At 37.1% G+C, this 16,720-nt stretch overlaps 1 protein-coding gene and 1 long non-coding RNA gene across 22 annotated transcripts in view, besides 2 other annotated features; one reads left to right on the plus strand and one right to left on the minus strand.

The window, feature by feature from the left end:
- Window positions 1-16,720, minus strand: part of LOC124904230 (uncharacterized) — a 124,812-nt gene that overhangs the window by 90,587 nt on the left and 17,505 nt on the right. The gene's annotated exons all lie outside the window — the stretch shown is intronic.
- The window catches only part of SLC35A3 (solute carrier family 35 member A3), a 65,639-nt gene that overhangs the window by 33,788 nt on the left and 15,131 nt on the right, over window positions 1-16,720 (plus strand). For 3 of the 13 annotated variants that reach the window (NM_001438725.1, NM_012243.3, NM_001271685.2), the window contains 4 exons: window positions 3,251-3,373; window positions 7,582-7,750; window positions 11,519-11,637; window positions 13,899-14,032. In NM_001438725.1, coding sequence (NP_001425654.1) covers window positions 3,251-3,373; window positions 7,582-7,750; window positions 11,519-11,637; window positions 13,899-14,032 — 545 coding nt within the window. Of the gene's footprint in view, window positions 1-3,250; window positions 3,374-5,504; window positions 5,541-7,581; window positions 7,751-11,518; window positions 11,638-13,898; window positions 14,033-16,720 lie in introns of those variants that run through there. The other 10 variants (NM_001438728.1, XM_011541137.4, NM_001437717.1 and 7 more) reach the window with 6 other exon arrangements.
- Window positions 2,313-2,813: an enhancer, noted in NCBI's record as "H3K4me1 hESC enhancer chr1:100471652-100472152 (GRCh37/hg19 assembly coordinates)". NCBI's record gives its function as "activates a minimal SCP1, AML or CMV promoter by ChIP-STARR-seq in naive H9 embryonic stem cells {active_cell/tissue: H9 hESC(naive)}" and the evidence as "EXISTENCE:reporter gene assay evidence [ECO:0000049][PMID:30033119]".
- Window positions 2,814-3,314: an enhancer, noted in NCBI's record as "H3K4me1 hESC enhancer chr1:100472153-100472653 (GRCh37/hg19 assembly coordinates)". NCBI's record gives its function as "activates a minimal SCP1, AML or CMV promoter by ChIP-STARR-seq in naive H9 embryonic stem cells {active_cell/tissue: H9 hESC(naive)}" and the evidence as "EXISTENCE:reporter gene assay evidence [ECO:0000049][PMID:30033119]".

The raw sequence follows: 16,720 nt of genomic DNA on the forward strand, positions 1-16,720 counted from the left end.
TTAATATATCTAGGTGCTGCAGAGTTGGGTGCATGTATATTTAGAATTGCTTTATAGTGTTGTTGAATTGATCCCTTTATCATGATATAATTACCTCTTTGTCTGTTTCTGCAGTTTTTGACCTAAAGTCTATTTTACATAAGTATAGCTATTTCTGCTCGTTTTTGGTTTCTGTTTGCATGGAATATCTCTCTATCCCTTTACTTTCGTCTGTTTGTCTTTACAGGTGAACTGCATTTCTTGTAGGTAGTGTGTAGTTAACATATGATTTTTTAAATCCATTTTGCCAGTCCATATCTTTTATGTGGGAAATTTAATTTATTTACATTCACAGTTATTATTGGTACATGGGGATTATTCCTGTCATTTTGTCAGTTGTTTTCTGGTTGGTTTTCTGTAGTGTTAATGTTTGACTTCTTTCTTTTTGTTATTTGTGTATCTGGTTTTCCAGTGAGTTTTATGCTTTCTTGTGTTTTTATCATGGTAGATACTGGCTTTCAAGTGCAGGACTTCTGTAAGCACTTTTTTTGTTTGTTTTTGAGGCAAGGTCTGGCTCTATCACCCAGGCTGGAGTGCAGGGGCACAGTCTTGGTTCACTGCAACTTCTGCCTCCCAGGCTCAAGCCATCTTCCCTCAGCCTCCCAAGTAGCTGGGCCTACCCATGCACACCACCATGCCTGGCTAACTTTCATATTTTTTTAGAGATGAGGTTTCGTCATGTTTCCCAGGGCTGGTCTTAAACTCCTGAGCTCAAGAGATCTGCCCGCCTTGGCCTCCCAAAGTGTGATTACAGGCACCTGGCCTAAGCATTTCTTATATGGCTGGTTTAGTGGTGATGAATTTTCTCAGTTTTTCCTTATCTAGGAAAGACTTTATCTCTCATTTTATTTTTAAAAAATTTATTTACCTATTTTTTAATTTAAAAAAAATTATTTCTATTTTTTTTATTTTTTATTTTCTAAAAGACAGATGTCTTGCTATGCTTCCTAGGCTGGAGTGCAGTGGCTGTTCACAGGCACAGTTATGGTGCACTGCAGTATCAAACTCCTGGGCTCAACCTGTCCTCCTGCCTCATCCTTCCAGGTAGCTAGACCACAATCGCACTCTACCATGCCTGTGCACGCCACCATGCCCTGCTAATTTTTGTATTTTTAGTAGAGACGGGGTTTCATCATGTTGGCCAGGCTGGTCTTGAACTCCTGACCTCAAGTGATCTGCCCACCTCGGCCACCCAAAATGCTGGGATTACAGGCATGAGCCTCCACGCCCAGCCTGCATTCATTTTTTAACAATAGTTTCACTGCGTATGGTATTTTTATCTGGCAGTTTTTCTTTCTTTCAGCACTTTGAATATATCATCTAATTCTCTCCTGGCCTATAATGTTTCTCTTAAAAAACCTGCTGCTAAGACTGATGGAGATTCCCTTATATGTAACTTGATGCTTGTCTCTTGCTGTTTTTAGGGTTCTCTCTTTGACTTTTGACTTTTGGTAGTTTGACTTTTGGTAGAAAAAAGTATATATTTTAATCTTTATTGTTGTTTCAAAACTTTATTTATTTTGTGTGGAGAAATATGGTTCTATTGATTGTTGAAACCAACAAATGTTTTTCCCCACAACTAACATATGTTTTGAGGGCATCCTTTGTGTGACATACTACATTGGGAGTGTAAGTAATACAGAGAAATTAATCAAAATAAAATGTACTTTGGTGAAGATCGTTTTGGGTTGACTCTATTTAGGCTTTTTCATTCTTTTTTCTCTTTTTTTTATGTGACTGGCTTATTTCAAAAGACCTGACTTCAAGTTCAGAAATTCTTTATTCTGTTTCATCTAGTCTAACATTGAAGCTCTTGGTTGGATTTTTTATTTCATTTATTGAATTCTTTAGTTCTATGATTTTTGTTTAGTTCTTTTTTATGATATCTCTTTGTTGAAAACCTCATTTAGATGATGAATTGTTCTCCTATTTTGTTTATATTGTCTGCTTGTGTTCTCTTGTATCTCACTAAACTTTCTAGATATCATTATGTTGAATTCTTTTTCAGGCCTTTCATATTTTCTTTTCATTGGGATGTGTTACTGGAGACTTATTGTGTCCCTTTGGAGGTGTCATATTTCCTTGCTTTCTCATGTTTCTTGTTTCCTTACATTGATATCTGTGCATCTGGTATAACAATAGCTTCTTCCAGTTTTGTAGATAGCTTTCATAGGGAAAGACATTTTCTCACAGATATATGCATAATGTTGGTTGGGTAGGGTGCTTTGGCTTTGATCCTGGGTGGGTGCAGTAATATATAGTCTCTATATGATTTCTTTGGCTATAATCAATGTCAGTGGGGTCTGTCTGGTTCCTTAGTGGCTTCGACTGAAGTTGTTAGTGGAGGCTGTGGCAAGGCTTTGCTGGGGATGGGGATGCCAGGCAGGGTCCAGTGGTGGCAGTGGTGGACCAGGTATGCTGGTTCTTGGGTCTCCAAGAGGTGTATGCAGATACTAGCAGTGGTGGGTCCAGGTGGCTGGTCCTTGGGCCTCCCAGCAGCTTGTTTTAGTGCTGCTTGAGGTAGCAGTGGGCTGGGCAGGTAGGTGGGTCTTCCAGTTCTTGGGTGGCATGTGTGGCATTGGCAGTAGCAGAAGCAGCAGTAGGCCAATCTTGGTTCCCCAAGCAGTGTACATGAGTGCCAGTGGTGAAAGCATAGGGCTGAGCAATCCAATTTTCAGGCCCCAGTTTGTGTGCATGGGTGGGTGCCAGCAGTGGTAGCAACAGGTTGTGCAGGGTCAGTCGCTAGCCCCCAGGAGGCATGCGTGGGCAGTAGACAGAGCAGGCTCGTTTTCAAGTCCCTGGAGGCCTGTGCAAGGACAGGCTTGTCCTCAGGCCCCTGGATGGTCTGCGCAGGTGCTGTCTGTGACAGGTGGGGCAGGTTGATACCCAGGCCCCTAGATTGCATGCTTGTGTATCTGCAAGAGTGGCAGTGGCTGTGGAGATAATTTTGTCTTTGCTTTCATGTTGCAACCTAATTTATAATAAGAAGGTTCAATTCATTTTGCATTATTGCCTAAAGTGTCCAGAGCTCTCTGGTACATAGTACAGATTCCTGAGACTGGCATTAACTGAAGCTTTAGATTCCAGTTCCCAGCCAGATGCAACCACCAGGCATGCTGCCATAGTCCTTAAAATACATTTCTAATAGTACTCTTAAGGAACAAACAAACAAACAAACGAACATTAATAATATTACTGTTTTCTTTTTCAGGTCACGTATCAGTTAAAAATTCTTACAACAGCATTATTTTCTGTGTCTATGCTTAGTAAAAAATTGGGTGTATACCAGTGGCTGTCCCTAGTAATTTTGATGACAGGAGTTGCTTTTGTACAGGTAACTATTCAAGATAAGTATATATTTTTATCTTTATTGTGGTTTCAAAACCTTATTTATTTTGTGTGGAGAAATATGGTTCTATTGATTGTTGAAACCAACAAATGTTTTTCCCCACAACTAACATATGTTTTGAGGGCATCCTTTATGTGACATACTACATTGGGAGTGTAAGTAATACAGAGGAATTAATCAAAATAAAATTATATTACCTACAGAAGTGAACATTCTAATTAGGGAAATAAGACACTGCATTTTAAAGAAAGTTGATTTTTGCTGGATATCTGTAGCATTTGAGATTATTAGCCACTCCCTTTTTATTTTCTATCGGCTTCACAATACCATTTTTTCCTGGTTCTTTTATCTTTCTAATGATTCCTTATTGGTTTTCTTCATAGGAATCTTTTCTGTGAGACTCCCTTTAAATACTGGGGTTGCTTGCAGGTTTGTTATTTCTTCTAAGTTACATCTTTATTTTTGGAGATTTCATCTATTCTTGGGGGGCGGTTAATTTTAATTTTTTAAAAAAAATTTATAAAGTGACGGGGTCTCACTGTGTTTCCCAGACTAGTCTCTCAAACTTCTGGGCTGAAGTGATCATCCTGCCTCAGCCTCCCAAAGTGTTAGATGTGAGCCACTGCACCTGGCCTTATTATTTATTATGATTATTATTATTTTTAGTCCTCAGTGATACTTGTTCTGATGGAAGGTTTTTTTAATACTTATATCCTGATAATTCCTCAGTTCATGCCATCACTTTCCCTGAAGTGTGGTATTTATATCATAAATAACTTTTTAATTTTTTTTTTTTTTTTGAGATGGAGTCTTGCTCTGTCCCAGGCTGGAAGGCAGTGGTACAATCTCAGCTCACTGCAACCTCCACCTCCTGGGTTCAAGCAATTCTCCTGCCTCAGCCTTCCAAGTAGCTGGGATTACAGGTGCCTGCCACCATGCCCGGCTAATTTTTTGTATTTTTAGTAAAGATGGACTTTCACTATGTTGGCCAGGCTGGTCTCGAACTCCTGACCTCATGATCCACCCTCCTCAGCCTCCTAAAGTGCTGGGATTACAGGCGCGAGCCACTGTACCCAGCCTAATATTTTTCATATTTATTTTAAATGAGTATTACAAAAGTTTAAGTGGCATATCAAATTCATATTTTCATAAATATTGCTTAGGGTAAGCTAAAGTAGGCATTGTTTCAAACAGTTAGGTATTTTAAATTAGAAAGTTATTAATAGTTCAGGTGGAACATAAGTTTGACAAAACCATGAAAATGATAGGCAAATAACTGAAGCTTCAGGAACACAGACCTATAGGATAAAGCTCAGAGTGATTAGTGTGACACACTGGACCTTCTGAAATGTACCTACAGTTCTAGACTCATTTCTGCTGCTGCATACTTCACACTCTGAATTGCTACAACTGAGCTGCTTGTAGGGGCTATTTTGCACAGCTGAGCATTTATCCATTCTTTCTCTTGTGCCTACAATGCCTTCTCCCCTTTCTTTGCCTGGCTAACTCCTACCTTTAAGACTCAGCTCAGTCTTAAAGTCTGCCTCTACCAGAATATCTTCCTAACATCACAGGCATAACATTTAAACATTTGTGCCTTCTTCTGTACCACCATAGTACTTTGTACATATCTTTTCCAAAGTACTTATATTATAGTTAAATGCTCATTTATATGTCTGTTTACACTTACAACTTAAGTTCCTAGAAGGCAGCAGCTGTGTTTCACCGCTCTTCCATTCATAGTGCCTAATTAGCAAGACTTAAACAAATGATATTTGTTTTTATGTGATTGGTTGTCAACTGATTTTATATCCTGTAAGTACAGATGACTCCTGGGAAATCTTCAGGGATGATATTGGAGTTAAATTAGGTGTTGAAAGGTAATAATTATAATGAAATTTGCATACTGAGTACTTATGTGCCAGGTGCCCACTTGGTACTTATCTTGTATAATCTCATGTTATACCCAACTGTTTAAGGTAGATATTATTCTTCCCAACTTTCAAAAGAGTTATTGAAGCTCAGAGAGGTTAATGAAATTGCTTATTGATCCCAATCTAGTAGTGGCAGAGCCAGAACCAAATCTCCTTAAAACTTTTCACTATTTGTGTTTCAGTAGGTCGGAAACAGCAGAAAAAGCATTACATAAAAGGTATGTTAAAAAAAATACAGATGTCGATCTGTGGATAAGCACAAATAAGTTAAGGAGTGGTAATAGTCTTCTTTGATTGGAACAAATAATTGACAAAGATATGGCGAGAGATGAAATTACAAAATACAGATTGGTCCTAGATTATATGTGGTCTTCAGTATTGAGCCAGGAGCTTAGGCTTGACTGCTTTTGGCTGTAAGGGCTCACTGGAGAGTTGGAAGGGAGAGAGGCATATCAGAGAAATCCTATAGGCATGCAGGACAGATTGGTGGGGAGAAATACTGAAGGAATGGAGAGGAGTTAGAAAGCATGACAGGGACCTAAACTGTCAGGTTAATGGGATTGGAATGTCCCACAGCAGTGATGTAAGAGTTGTTCCAAGGGAAGAATCAGTATGAGTGTTAGACCAATAAATATCATAGAGAATGGAGAGCAAGGAGATTAAGAAACTTAAGTTTGAATGGTGGCATTTTTAATAGATATAAAGGTATCAAAAGGTATGTTTGCTTTGAAGAGGTATGGGTACATTTTAATCATATTGGCTTTGAGGAGATAGTAAGTTTCTGGATAGCAGCAACTGAAAATCTTGGACTTGAGCTCAGAAGAGATGTCAGTGCTTCTGTGAATCAGCTCTCCAGGGTAGAGGGGATTCCTATAAACTATGCTGTAGAACTACACTGTCCAGTAGGGTAGCCACAAGCCATATGTAGCTATTTAAATTTAATTAGTTAAAATTAAATTAAAATTTCAGTTCCTTGGTCGCACTACCCACATTTCACGTGCTCAATAGCCACTTAAATATAGCGATGACCCTATTGAGGGTGAAGATACAGAACATTTCCATCATCCAAAGAGTCAGTTGACTAGAATAAATATAAAGATTGGAGGAGAGAACACGGAAAAGAGCAGGTTGTTTCAAGAGGTAAGGAATGAATAGTCACTAGTGTTAATTCTCTGGTGAAAGCAAGCTGAATAGAGAATGAACAATTTTATTATTAAAAATTAGTTAACATATTGATTGAAAAGTCTTTGGTCGCTATGAAAAGTACAGTTTCAGAAGGAAAAATGGTTTTAAGAAGTCCAGCTAGTTTGGGCATGGTGGCTCACACCCACAGTCCTAGCACTTTGGGAGGCCAAGGCAGGCAAATTGCTTGAGCCCAGGAGTTTGAGACCATCCTGGGCAACATGGCAGAACCCTGTCTCTACAAAAAACACAGAAATTAGCTGGGTGTGGTTGTGTGCACCTGTAGTCCCAGCTACTGGGGAGGCTAAGGTGGATCACCTGAGCCCAGGGAGGTTGAGGCTGCAATGAGCTGTTATCATGCACTGCACTCCAGCCTGGGTGACAAAGTGAGACCATGTCTCAAAAAAAGAAGTCCAGCTAGTAGAAGATCAAACTGAGGAGGGAAGAAATAGATGCAAAAGAAAATTTAACAGTAGTTACAGGATATCAGTTGATTAGATTAAGGGTAACATCTAAGCCATAGGGTACTATCCCTGGTGCAATGATCCTGGAGTCCCTTCCAACACATTTCGTTTCCAGTGTCTTGTACTCAGAGTTTTCCTTCCCTGTCTGATGGACTGTCTTTTCCTGACAGTGTTTGGGGGGGTTCACCTCCCAACAGCTTCCCTTTATTATGCTTGATTTAGAACACTACTTTCCAGCTGATCTCTACTTTTGCTGACACAGCAGAGGGGATGTGAGATTCTCATTCTTTCTTCTACCTGTATTTGAGATGGTGCTTTTTAATAAATTAAACTTTAAGGAATTATCTCAAGGTAGCATTGGTCTCTGTAATAGATGAAATGTAAAATATTTATTATTTCTAAGGTGCTTTTTGAAATTATAAGTTAGTAATATATTATCACTGTGAGGAAAAAAATCAAATGATTGTAAGGTTTTATGTTAAAAGCTCTCCTTTGCAGTCCCAAAAATGATATTGGTTGCATTTTTAAGTTATGGTCTAAGAGTGGGCTCTCAATATGTTTATGTAAAATGTTATGGAAATTAAACTTCAATTTTATTTTTCTTCTTATTTAGTGGCCCTCAGATTCTCAGCTTGATTCTAAGGAACTTTCAGCTGGTTCTCAATTTGTAGGACTCATGGCAGTTCTCACAGCATGTTTTTCAAGTGGCTTTGCTGGGGTTTACTTTGAGAAAATCTTAAAAGAAACAAAACAATCAGTGTGGATAAGAAATATTCAGCTTGGTAAGTTTTAAATGTTTTCTAATATTATTTTAAAAATGATTATATTGTTATATTTAAAGATTTCTATATATCTTTAAATAAATGAGCCTTGCATAAAATCTGCTATTGATCCAAATATCTGGCAATGCTCTTGTCTTTTAAAACATTTTATTATTTATTTATTTATTTATTTATTTATTTATTTATTTATTTATTTATTTATTTTTGACAGATTCTCGCTCTCTCGCCCAGGCTGGAGTGCAGTGTGCAATCTCGGCTCACTGCAAGCTCCGCCTCCCAGGTTCACGCCATTCTCCAGTCTCAGCCTCCTGAGTAGCTGAGACTATAGGCGCCCGCCACCACGCCCGGCTAATTTTTTGTATTTTTAGTAGAGATAGGGTTTCACTGTGTTAGACAGGATGGTCTCAATTTCTTGACCTTGTGATCTGCCTGCCTCAGCCTCCCAAAGTGCTGGGATTACAGGCGTGAGCCACCTCCCCGGCCAAACATTTTATTTTAAATGAACGCCTTTTATTTAAGAATATGAAAAACTTAGATCTGTGACATAAAGACCAGCCTGGCCAACATGATGAAGCCCCATCTCTACTAAAAATACAAAAAATTAGCCAGGCATGGTGGCGCGCACCTGTAATCCCAGCTAATCTGGAGGCTGAGGCAGGACAATTGCTTGAACCTAGGAGGCGGAGGTTGCAGTGAGCCAAGAATAAAGTGTCTTACATATAGTGAGCCCTAAAAATGTCAACTATTTATATAAATATACAATATCAGAGAAAAAGAAAGAAATAAGGTTTGTGTGAGTTGCCTAAACTTTTATTAAATTGTAAGATAAAAATGGAAGACAAATCAGAATTCATGATTCTAATGTGCTTCATGGATTTCTTATTATTTGGTGACTTCATAAGCTCCAATGCTCATAGAAAAAAATGATAACAGACTTAATGTTTTGAAAGGATAATTAAATAATTACCTATCACAATTCAAAATTATAAGAACAAATTAAAACAATGTAATAGCATTTTTCAAACATCAAATTGTCAAAGATTAACATGATAAGATCCAATTTATCCAGAGAATAGAGAACCAGGAACTCTATTACCTATTGTTCCTAGGAGTATAGATTGATATAACCATGTTGGATTTCAATTTGGGAATATTTGCCAAAATTTTAAATATGTGTAGGCTGTAATGTAAGAATTCCAAGTCTGGATAAAAGTCTATCCTATAAGAGCACAAAGATAGATGTCCAGGATTATTGTTTCAGCCATTGGTTACCATTCTAAAAAACAGAAAACATTTAGAGGGCTGGTTAAATAAATTATCAGTATAATACATAGTATAGTGATTAAGATCATGTTCTCTCCTGAGCCCATGATTTACCAGTAGTGTGAGCTTGGGCAAGTTATGTAACCTCTCTGTGCTTCAGTTTCTTCATCTATAAAATAGACATCTACCTCATAGTGTTGTATGTGAGTTAACATACATGAAGCACTTAGAATAATTCTTGTTACATGCTGATACATACATATTTGCTATTATAATCCATACAAAGGAATATTATGCAACTGTTAGAATGCAGTAGTTCTGTTCATACTGACATGTATATATCCTTCTATAATGTATACTTTTTTAGTAATTACAAAGTCTTTTATAAATTAAAAAACTTTATTGGGTTTGGTGGCTTGTGCTTCTAATCCCAGATACTTGGGAGGCTGAGATGGGAGGATTGCTTGAGAACCAGGAGTTTTGAGACCTGAGCAACATAGTGAGACCCTGTTTCTTAAAAATATATATATATAAGCCTGGATACAGTGGCTCACGCCTGTAATCCCAGCACTTTGAGAGGCCGAGGCAGGTGGATTGTTTGAGCTTAGGAATTGGAGACCAGTCTGAGCAACACTACAAAACTCTGTACAAAAAAAAAAAAAAAAAATTAGCTGGGTGTGGTAGCGTGTGCCTGTGGTCCAAGCTACTTCGGAGGCTGAGGTGGGAGGATCGCTTGAGTCCAAGAAGTCGAGGCTGCAGTGAGTTGTGATTGTGCCTCTGCACTCCAGCCTGCTAAGTGACAGAGTGAAATCCTGTCTCAAAATATACATATACATATATATATGTTATATATAAAACTCTTCTGATGGTATTTTATATATGTGTGTATATATATACACACACATACCTATTTTATATATATGTAATACCATCATATAAAATACCATCACATGTGTTTTTGTAATTATATGCCAGCATTAATTTCATGTTTGAAATTAGACATTAAAAGGATAGAGCTGACTTAAATGGAATTTTAGAGCATTTCTCATCCTTTTCACTTCCTTTCTATTGTGGAATACTTTGATTAGTTATAACTTCATTTTTAAAAATTGCTTTACGCTTGCACTCCTTAACTGCACATATTTCAAAGGTGACCCATAAGAAGTGGTCCATGTAAGCATGAATTTCTTTATTAATAGCCTCGCAATGCTTCTGGGAATCTCTTATTCCAATAGTCATGTGATAGAATATGTTTTTGAGGTGAGATTCAACATGAACAAGACAGTTTCTGCTGTCACCAAGTTAACTTTCTCTAACAGTGAAACTTCAGTAACACAGAATCTAATGATTTCTATGACTATTTCTTAGCTGTGATTTTTTGGATATCAGTTATTATTAGTTATACTTTCAAAACAAAACTTTTATTTATTTATTTATTTTTTTAGAGACAGTCTCGCTGTTTTGCTCAGACTGGAATGCAGTGGTAGAATCATAGCCCACTGTAACCTCAAACTTCTGGGCTCAAGTGATTGTCCCTCCTCAGCCACCTGAGTAGCTAGGACTACAGGCATGCACCACCACACCTAACTAATTTAAAAATTTTTTTGTAGAGATGGAGTCTTGCTATGTTGCCTGGGTGGGTCTTAAACTCCTGGGGTCAAATGATTCTCCTGCTTTGGCCTTCCAAAGTGCTGGGATTTCAGGCGTGAGCCACTGTGCCCACTCTCAAAACTTCTTAATAGGGAAAAATATTGTACCCCCTGCCTCAGCTTTTATATTTGTATGTATCAATGTGAATATATGAAAAATCTAGATCTAGCAAGAGGAAGATGGAAGAACAATGACATATTCCAAATGTGAGCAATTTGCACATATTCGAATGGGCTAGCCATGTAATTATCTAATTTGTGCATTGTATTATTTTAGTGCTCCAAAGTTGGTAATGTATGTTATTTTTTGTATTCTATGTCTTTGTCTTTTTACATTTATATGTCTTTGTCTTGTAGTCATAATATAGTACTAAGTATACTTTTGTTAAGTATACAAAACCAAGTAAAAATTTTAGAAAGTAATCTAATTTTGGCTGGGCACGTAACTCACACCTGTAATCCCAGGACTTTGTGAGGCCAAGGCAGGTGGATCATGAGGTCAGGAGATCGAGACTAGCCTGGCTAACACAGTGAAACCCCGTCTCTACTAAAAATACAAAAAATTAGCTGGGCGTGGTGGCACGCGCCTGTAGTCCCAGCTACTCGGGAGGCTGAGGCAGGAGAATTGCTTGAACCTGGGAGGTGGAGGTTGCAGTAAGCCAAGATTGTGCCACTGCACTGCAGCCTGGGCAACAGAGCAAGACTCCGTCTCAAAAAAAAAAAAAAAAAAAAGAAAGTAATCTAATTTTATCAAAAAGAAAAAGTTAAGTGTAAAATTATTTGGAATGTCAGTGGAAAAAATATATCTCTTCAGACAAACTAAACGATATATCATGTAGACTTTACTTTTTTTTAGGTTTCTTTGGAAGTATATTTGGATTAATGGGTGTATACATTTATGATGGAGAACTGGTATCAAAGAATGGATTTTTTCAGGGATATAACCGACTGACCTGGATAGTAGTTGTTCTTCAGGTAAAGCATTTAAAGTCTTAGATTTAATGCTAATAAACTGTATTTTAATATAAAGAATCAAAGTAGCTCCTGATATACTGATGTGAGGGGGAAAAGGTCCCTCCTGTTAGTGCTCTCGTATCTAGTTTATTCAAGGAAGTGAAAATAGAAGTGATCTTAATGCTGTAATGAAATCTTATTTTGTACAGGGGTCTTTAATGAACTTTGTGGTTTTAAATGTAACATAATGAAAATACAAGTTTAAGAATAAAAGAGTTGAAGCTAAAGGCAAATATAACTTTTGATTTTTACAAGTCTTATCATTGTACAGGAAGTCTGGGTCAGCCATTAAGACCCAGGAAGCAGATCTAGATATTTAATTCTGTGACAGTTCATAGCCTCATATTGTAGTTACATATTGGAAAACATCTGTCAAATTCAGTTTATATATAGCTTGGAATTGTTCAAGGGTTGAGTAATTAATTACATCTTTAAAAAATACATATGGAGAATTCTAGAGGATATAAAAATGAAGATACAAGTCACTATCCTTAGAGCCTCCTATTCTTCTAGAGATATTTGAAGCCTAGGAAGCAAGGCTCCAGAAAGGAAGGTGAAGATGGCAAAGGATAGTTGTGTTTTAAAAGCAGGTAGGATACTTCTATTTTTTTTTTTTTTTTTTTTGAGACGGAGTCTAGCTCTGTCACCAGGCTGGAGTGCAGTGGTACGATCTCGTCTCACTGTAATCTCCACCTCCCAGGTTCAAGCAATTCTCCTGCCTCAGCCTCCTGAGTAGCTGGGATTACAGGCATGTGCCACCACGCCCAGCTAATTTTTGTATTTTTAGTAGAGACGGGGGTTTCACCATGTTAGCCAGGATGATCTCGATCTCCTGACCTCGTTATCCACCCACCTTGACCTCCCAAAGTGCTGGGATTACAGGTGTGAGCCACCGCGCCCGGCCCGGATACTTCTATTTTTTTTTTTTTTTTGAGACGGAGTCTCGCTCTGTTGCCCAGGCTGGAGTGCAGTGGCGAGATCTTGGCTCACTGCAAGCTCCGCCTCCTGGGTTCACGCCATTCTCCTGCCTCAGCCTCCCAAGTAGCTGGGACTACAGGCGCCCGCCACCAAGCCCAGCTAATTTTTTGTATTTTTAGTAGAGACGGGGTTTCACTGTGTTAGCCAGGATGGTTTTGATCTCCTGGCCTTGTGATCCGCCCACCTCGGCCTCCCAAAGTGCTGGGATTACAGGCGTGAGCCACCTCGCCTGGCCCGGATACTTCTGTTTTTAAGATAGCAGAAAAGGAAACAAAGATAAGTGAAAATTTTAAAAAAATAATTAAGAGAAAATTTGAAGCGGAGATAGGGTGAGTCAAGAGAGTTTATGTATGATGTATCTTATTCCAGCAAAGAGAAGAAGCCCCCTTCCCTTAAAAAGGGGCTGAAGATATGAGAAAAATTAAAAATGTTTGGTATAACTGGTATGAAGGATTCAATAGGGAGTAAATAGATGAATGACAACATTGCCAAGAAATACTGGGACTGAAACATTAATTTGTAGTAAGCTCAATTGGCATAATTTACGACTTTCTCTAAATAAAGCTTCCATCATAGAAGAGATGTTTTGAAAGTTGTTGCAGTAGGTAACCCAGATTTGGAAAATGATAAGTAGTCTTTGGCAGAAAGCAAAACTGTGTAGTATAGTAAAACCTCATTATTAAAGTAGCCACAATTGGGAATTTGAGAGGGATTAGGTAAGTTCTTTCTACAGTCTTAAAGAAAAAGCACAATTAAAACTGTGCTTTAGAAAACTTAATGTGACAGTAATGAGAGGTGGATTTGAAAGGGGAGAAACTATAGGAAAAAAGCCAAATTAAGGGGCTGTTGAAAGGCTGTAAAATGACTCTGATTACTAATTTTACTCAAAAGTAAAAATATTTCACTATTTAAAGTGACCAGTCCTCTTACATTTGTCCAAACAAGTGATGTTTAATTACTAAATTGGATAATGATAGACATTTTATTTGTAATATGGTCAAAGTCCATTATAACACACTGCAGATTGTCCTGGTAGTTACTTTAATTAAATGCCTTTTGAAATAAGAGGGCTATTGAACAAAACCTGTAAGTCTATTCGTTGTTAAGAGATGTTTAAAATAAATCCCTTACTATAATGGGATTGAATTTATGGGACAAAAGCTTAAAGCTTTATTAAATACTGAAAGTGTTTTGAAATGCAGTTTTACATGTGTGTTTTAAAAAATATTTTTTTAAAACTTCAGGCACTTGGAGGCCTTGTAATAGCTGCTGTTATTAAGTATGCAGATAATATTTTAAAAGGATTTGCAACCTCTTTATCGATAATATTATCAACATTGATCTCCTATTTTTGGCTTCAAGATTTTGTGCCAACCAGGTAAAATGTTCTTTTCTATTTTTTTAAATCCCCAGAAGTATATAGAAAAATTAGAATTCTTTGTAAGGTGATCTGATAAATTTGAAGAAGCACTGAAATATAATTTTAAAAATTTATTTAACTATGTTTTAAAAATATTTCAAATTAAATTCATGAAAGAAAGTCTTCTCCTGAAAAGTTTCTTATACAAATTTGGTTGGCCAGAATTTTCCCAATAAATAGATGTGAATATTTTCCCTGCAAAGTAAAAAAGTGATATAAAAAAGTTAATAAGTCATATAAAGTCATAAAAATAAGTCATGTAATGACATTTTTAAAATACGGAATTTACATGACTTCCTTGAAGGAGATAGTTTATATAGAGAATGTGGCTCATGAGGAAACTCAATTAGGTGGTAGCAGGAAGAGCAATCTGGAAAGGAATTGCAGGAGGAGTTATAGGTGAGGAAGAAGACCCAGGACTCTGTAGTTTTATGGATGCTAAGGGAGGAGATAGCATCAGGAAAAATTGAGTGTAATGAATATCCATTACAGACAGCATTGAAAATTCTAGTTTTTTGTTTAATTTATAATCTCAGACTAGTGGGATTATATTTTAATTGTTTCCAGTACACCACTCTTGGTTTTCCTCCAACTTTACTCCTCTCCTGATTTTCTCAACCTCTAAACTTTGGAATCTCCCAAGAATCTTTTATTTATTTATTACTTTATTATTTATATGTTCATATTTTTGAGACAGGATCTCAGTTTGTCACCCAGGTTGCAGTGCAGTGGCGTGATCGTAGCCCACTGCAGCTTCAAACTCCTGGGCTCAAGCAATCCTCCTGCCTCAGCCTCACAGGTAGCTGGGACTACACATGTGCTTTGTTGCCCAGGCTGATCTTGAACTCCTTACCTCGAGCAATCTTCCCACCTCTGCCTCTCAGAGTGCTGGGATTATAGGCATATGCCACTTCGCTGAACTCATTTGTGTTTTTGAGAGTGAAATAGGATTATGGATGGAATTTGGCACTATAAAAATATAATATCCTTTTTATATTTTTTATATTGAACATTGACGGTTTTAATTCTTTTCTAGCAATCTAGACAATAGGTCTGGAACATACATGTTGAGATCTGTAGTTCTTATGGGACAAAAATTTAAAAGCATTTCTGTTTTCAGCTTGGTATGGAAATGAATCACTTAGCTAGTGAGACTAGATGAACAATGAACACTTGTGTCTTAATTTTGTAATCTTAATCATATTCCCTGTTCATAAGATGAGGAAATCGTATGCTTTAATGTACTTTGAGAATGTTTGCACCTTGCAGATTTTTAGATTTTACTTTTAAAAGCATACCTTTTTTTTTTTTTTAAATTGAACCTTATGTAAGGCCGAGGTAATTAAATCTTTGAATTATGCAGAGAATAAACAAATAAATGAACAAGCAAACCATCAGAGGGACAAAAGAGTAGTAGTTTGGCAATGAGATGTATGCCTGCCTGTAAATTCACGTTTCTGAGGAAGTATATAAGGTTTGTTTAGTTGAAGATAGAAAGAGAAAAGACAATGATACTGCCATTATTGAATGAATGAATGAATGAATGAATGAATGAATGAATATTTTGAGAATATGCTCAGGACACTAAGCCAGATGGAGAAGATGGATTCTTTTTCCTAAAATAGGTAACTAAGCCCTCTATCTTTATGCATCTTACCTTTGTGGAGAATACATTTTCAGTAATAAATCTAGTGACATTTTCTCAATCTTCATTCAATTCTATCCTAAATGTAATAATATATTTGCCTTTAGCCTCATTCCATCTCCTGAAACTGGGTTTTTGTTTGTTTGTTTGTTTGGCTTCTCTGAAATGGTACGCCTATACTTGCATTTCTGATTGTCCCTTTGGTAGTTTGTCAATCCTTGCTCACTCTCTTGGCTATCTCATCCACTGCCATGTCATATCTGTCTTCTCTAGGAAGATAAGTTCAGATTTCACCTAAACTCTAGATCCCTTTATTCTATTGACTGTTAGACATCTCTACTGATACAATATCACTGTTACCCACTTCCCTAAATTATTTTTCTTGTGCTTGTTATTTTGCTTATTGGTGTTACCATTCTTCCATTTAGGGTTGCTTATTCTTTTATCAAAAGTTTGTGTCTACTATGTGCCTGCTGGCCACTGTGCTAGCTCCTGGAAAAGGAGTGCATGAATGAGACACAATTTCTTGTCTTCAAGGTCATCAAGGTTTGGTGATCATCAAGTGATTGGAAAGACAGATGTGAATAATTATAACAGTATGATCAATGCAACAATGGAAGTATACATACAATAATTCTGTTAGAGGGGGCTCAAATCCTTGAAGTAATCATTACATTCTGATAGTTTTATCCTAATTTTTTTTTTTCTGAGACAACTTTCTCTCTCAGAACCATCTTAAAATTGCTGGCTTGAGAAACAGGTGTTTCCTGACATGATTAGGTATTCAAGTAGATCCTGCTAAAGATATTATAGAAAGGATTCCTGCAGTGGATACAAAGGTAGACCACAGAATCTTTCAGTTGAGCATGAACTTTCAGTCCATGCCATTCCAAAGTTCCAGAAAGCTAAGAATAGTTCATAATGACTAAGGAAGACAGTGTCTAGTAATTAATAATTACCAATATTAATGTAGCAATTTCTTCAAGATACATTACAGGATG

Source organism: Homo sapiens, chromosome 1 (genome assembly GCF_000001405.40).
Source record: "Homo sapiens chromosome 1, GRCh38.p14 Primary Assembly".
Taxonomy (NCBI): Eukaryota; Metazoa; Chordata; class Mammalia; order Primates; family Hominidae; genus Homo; species Homo sapiens.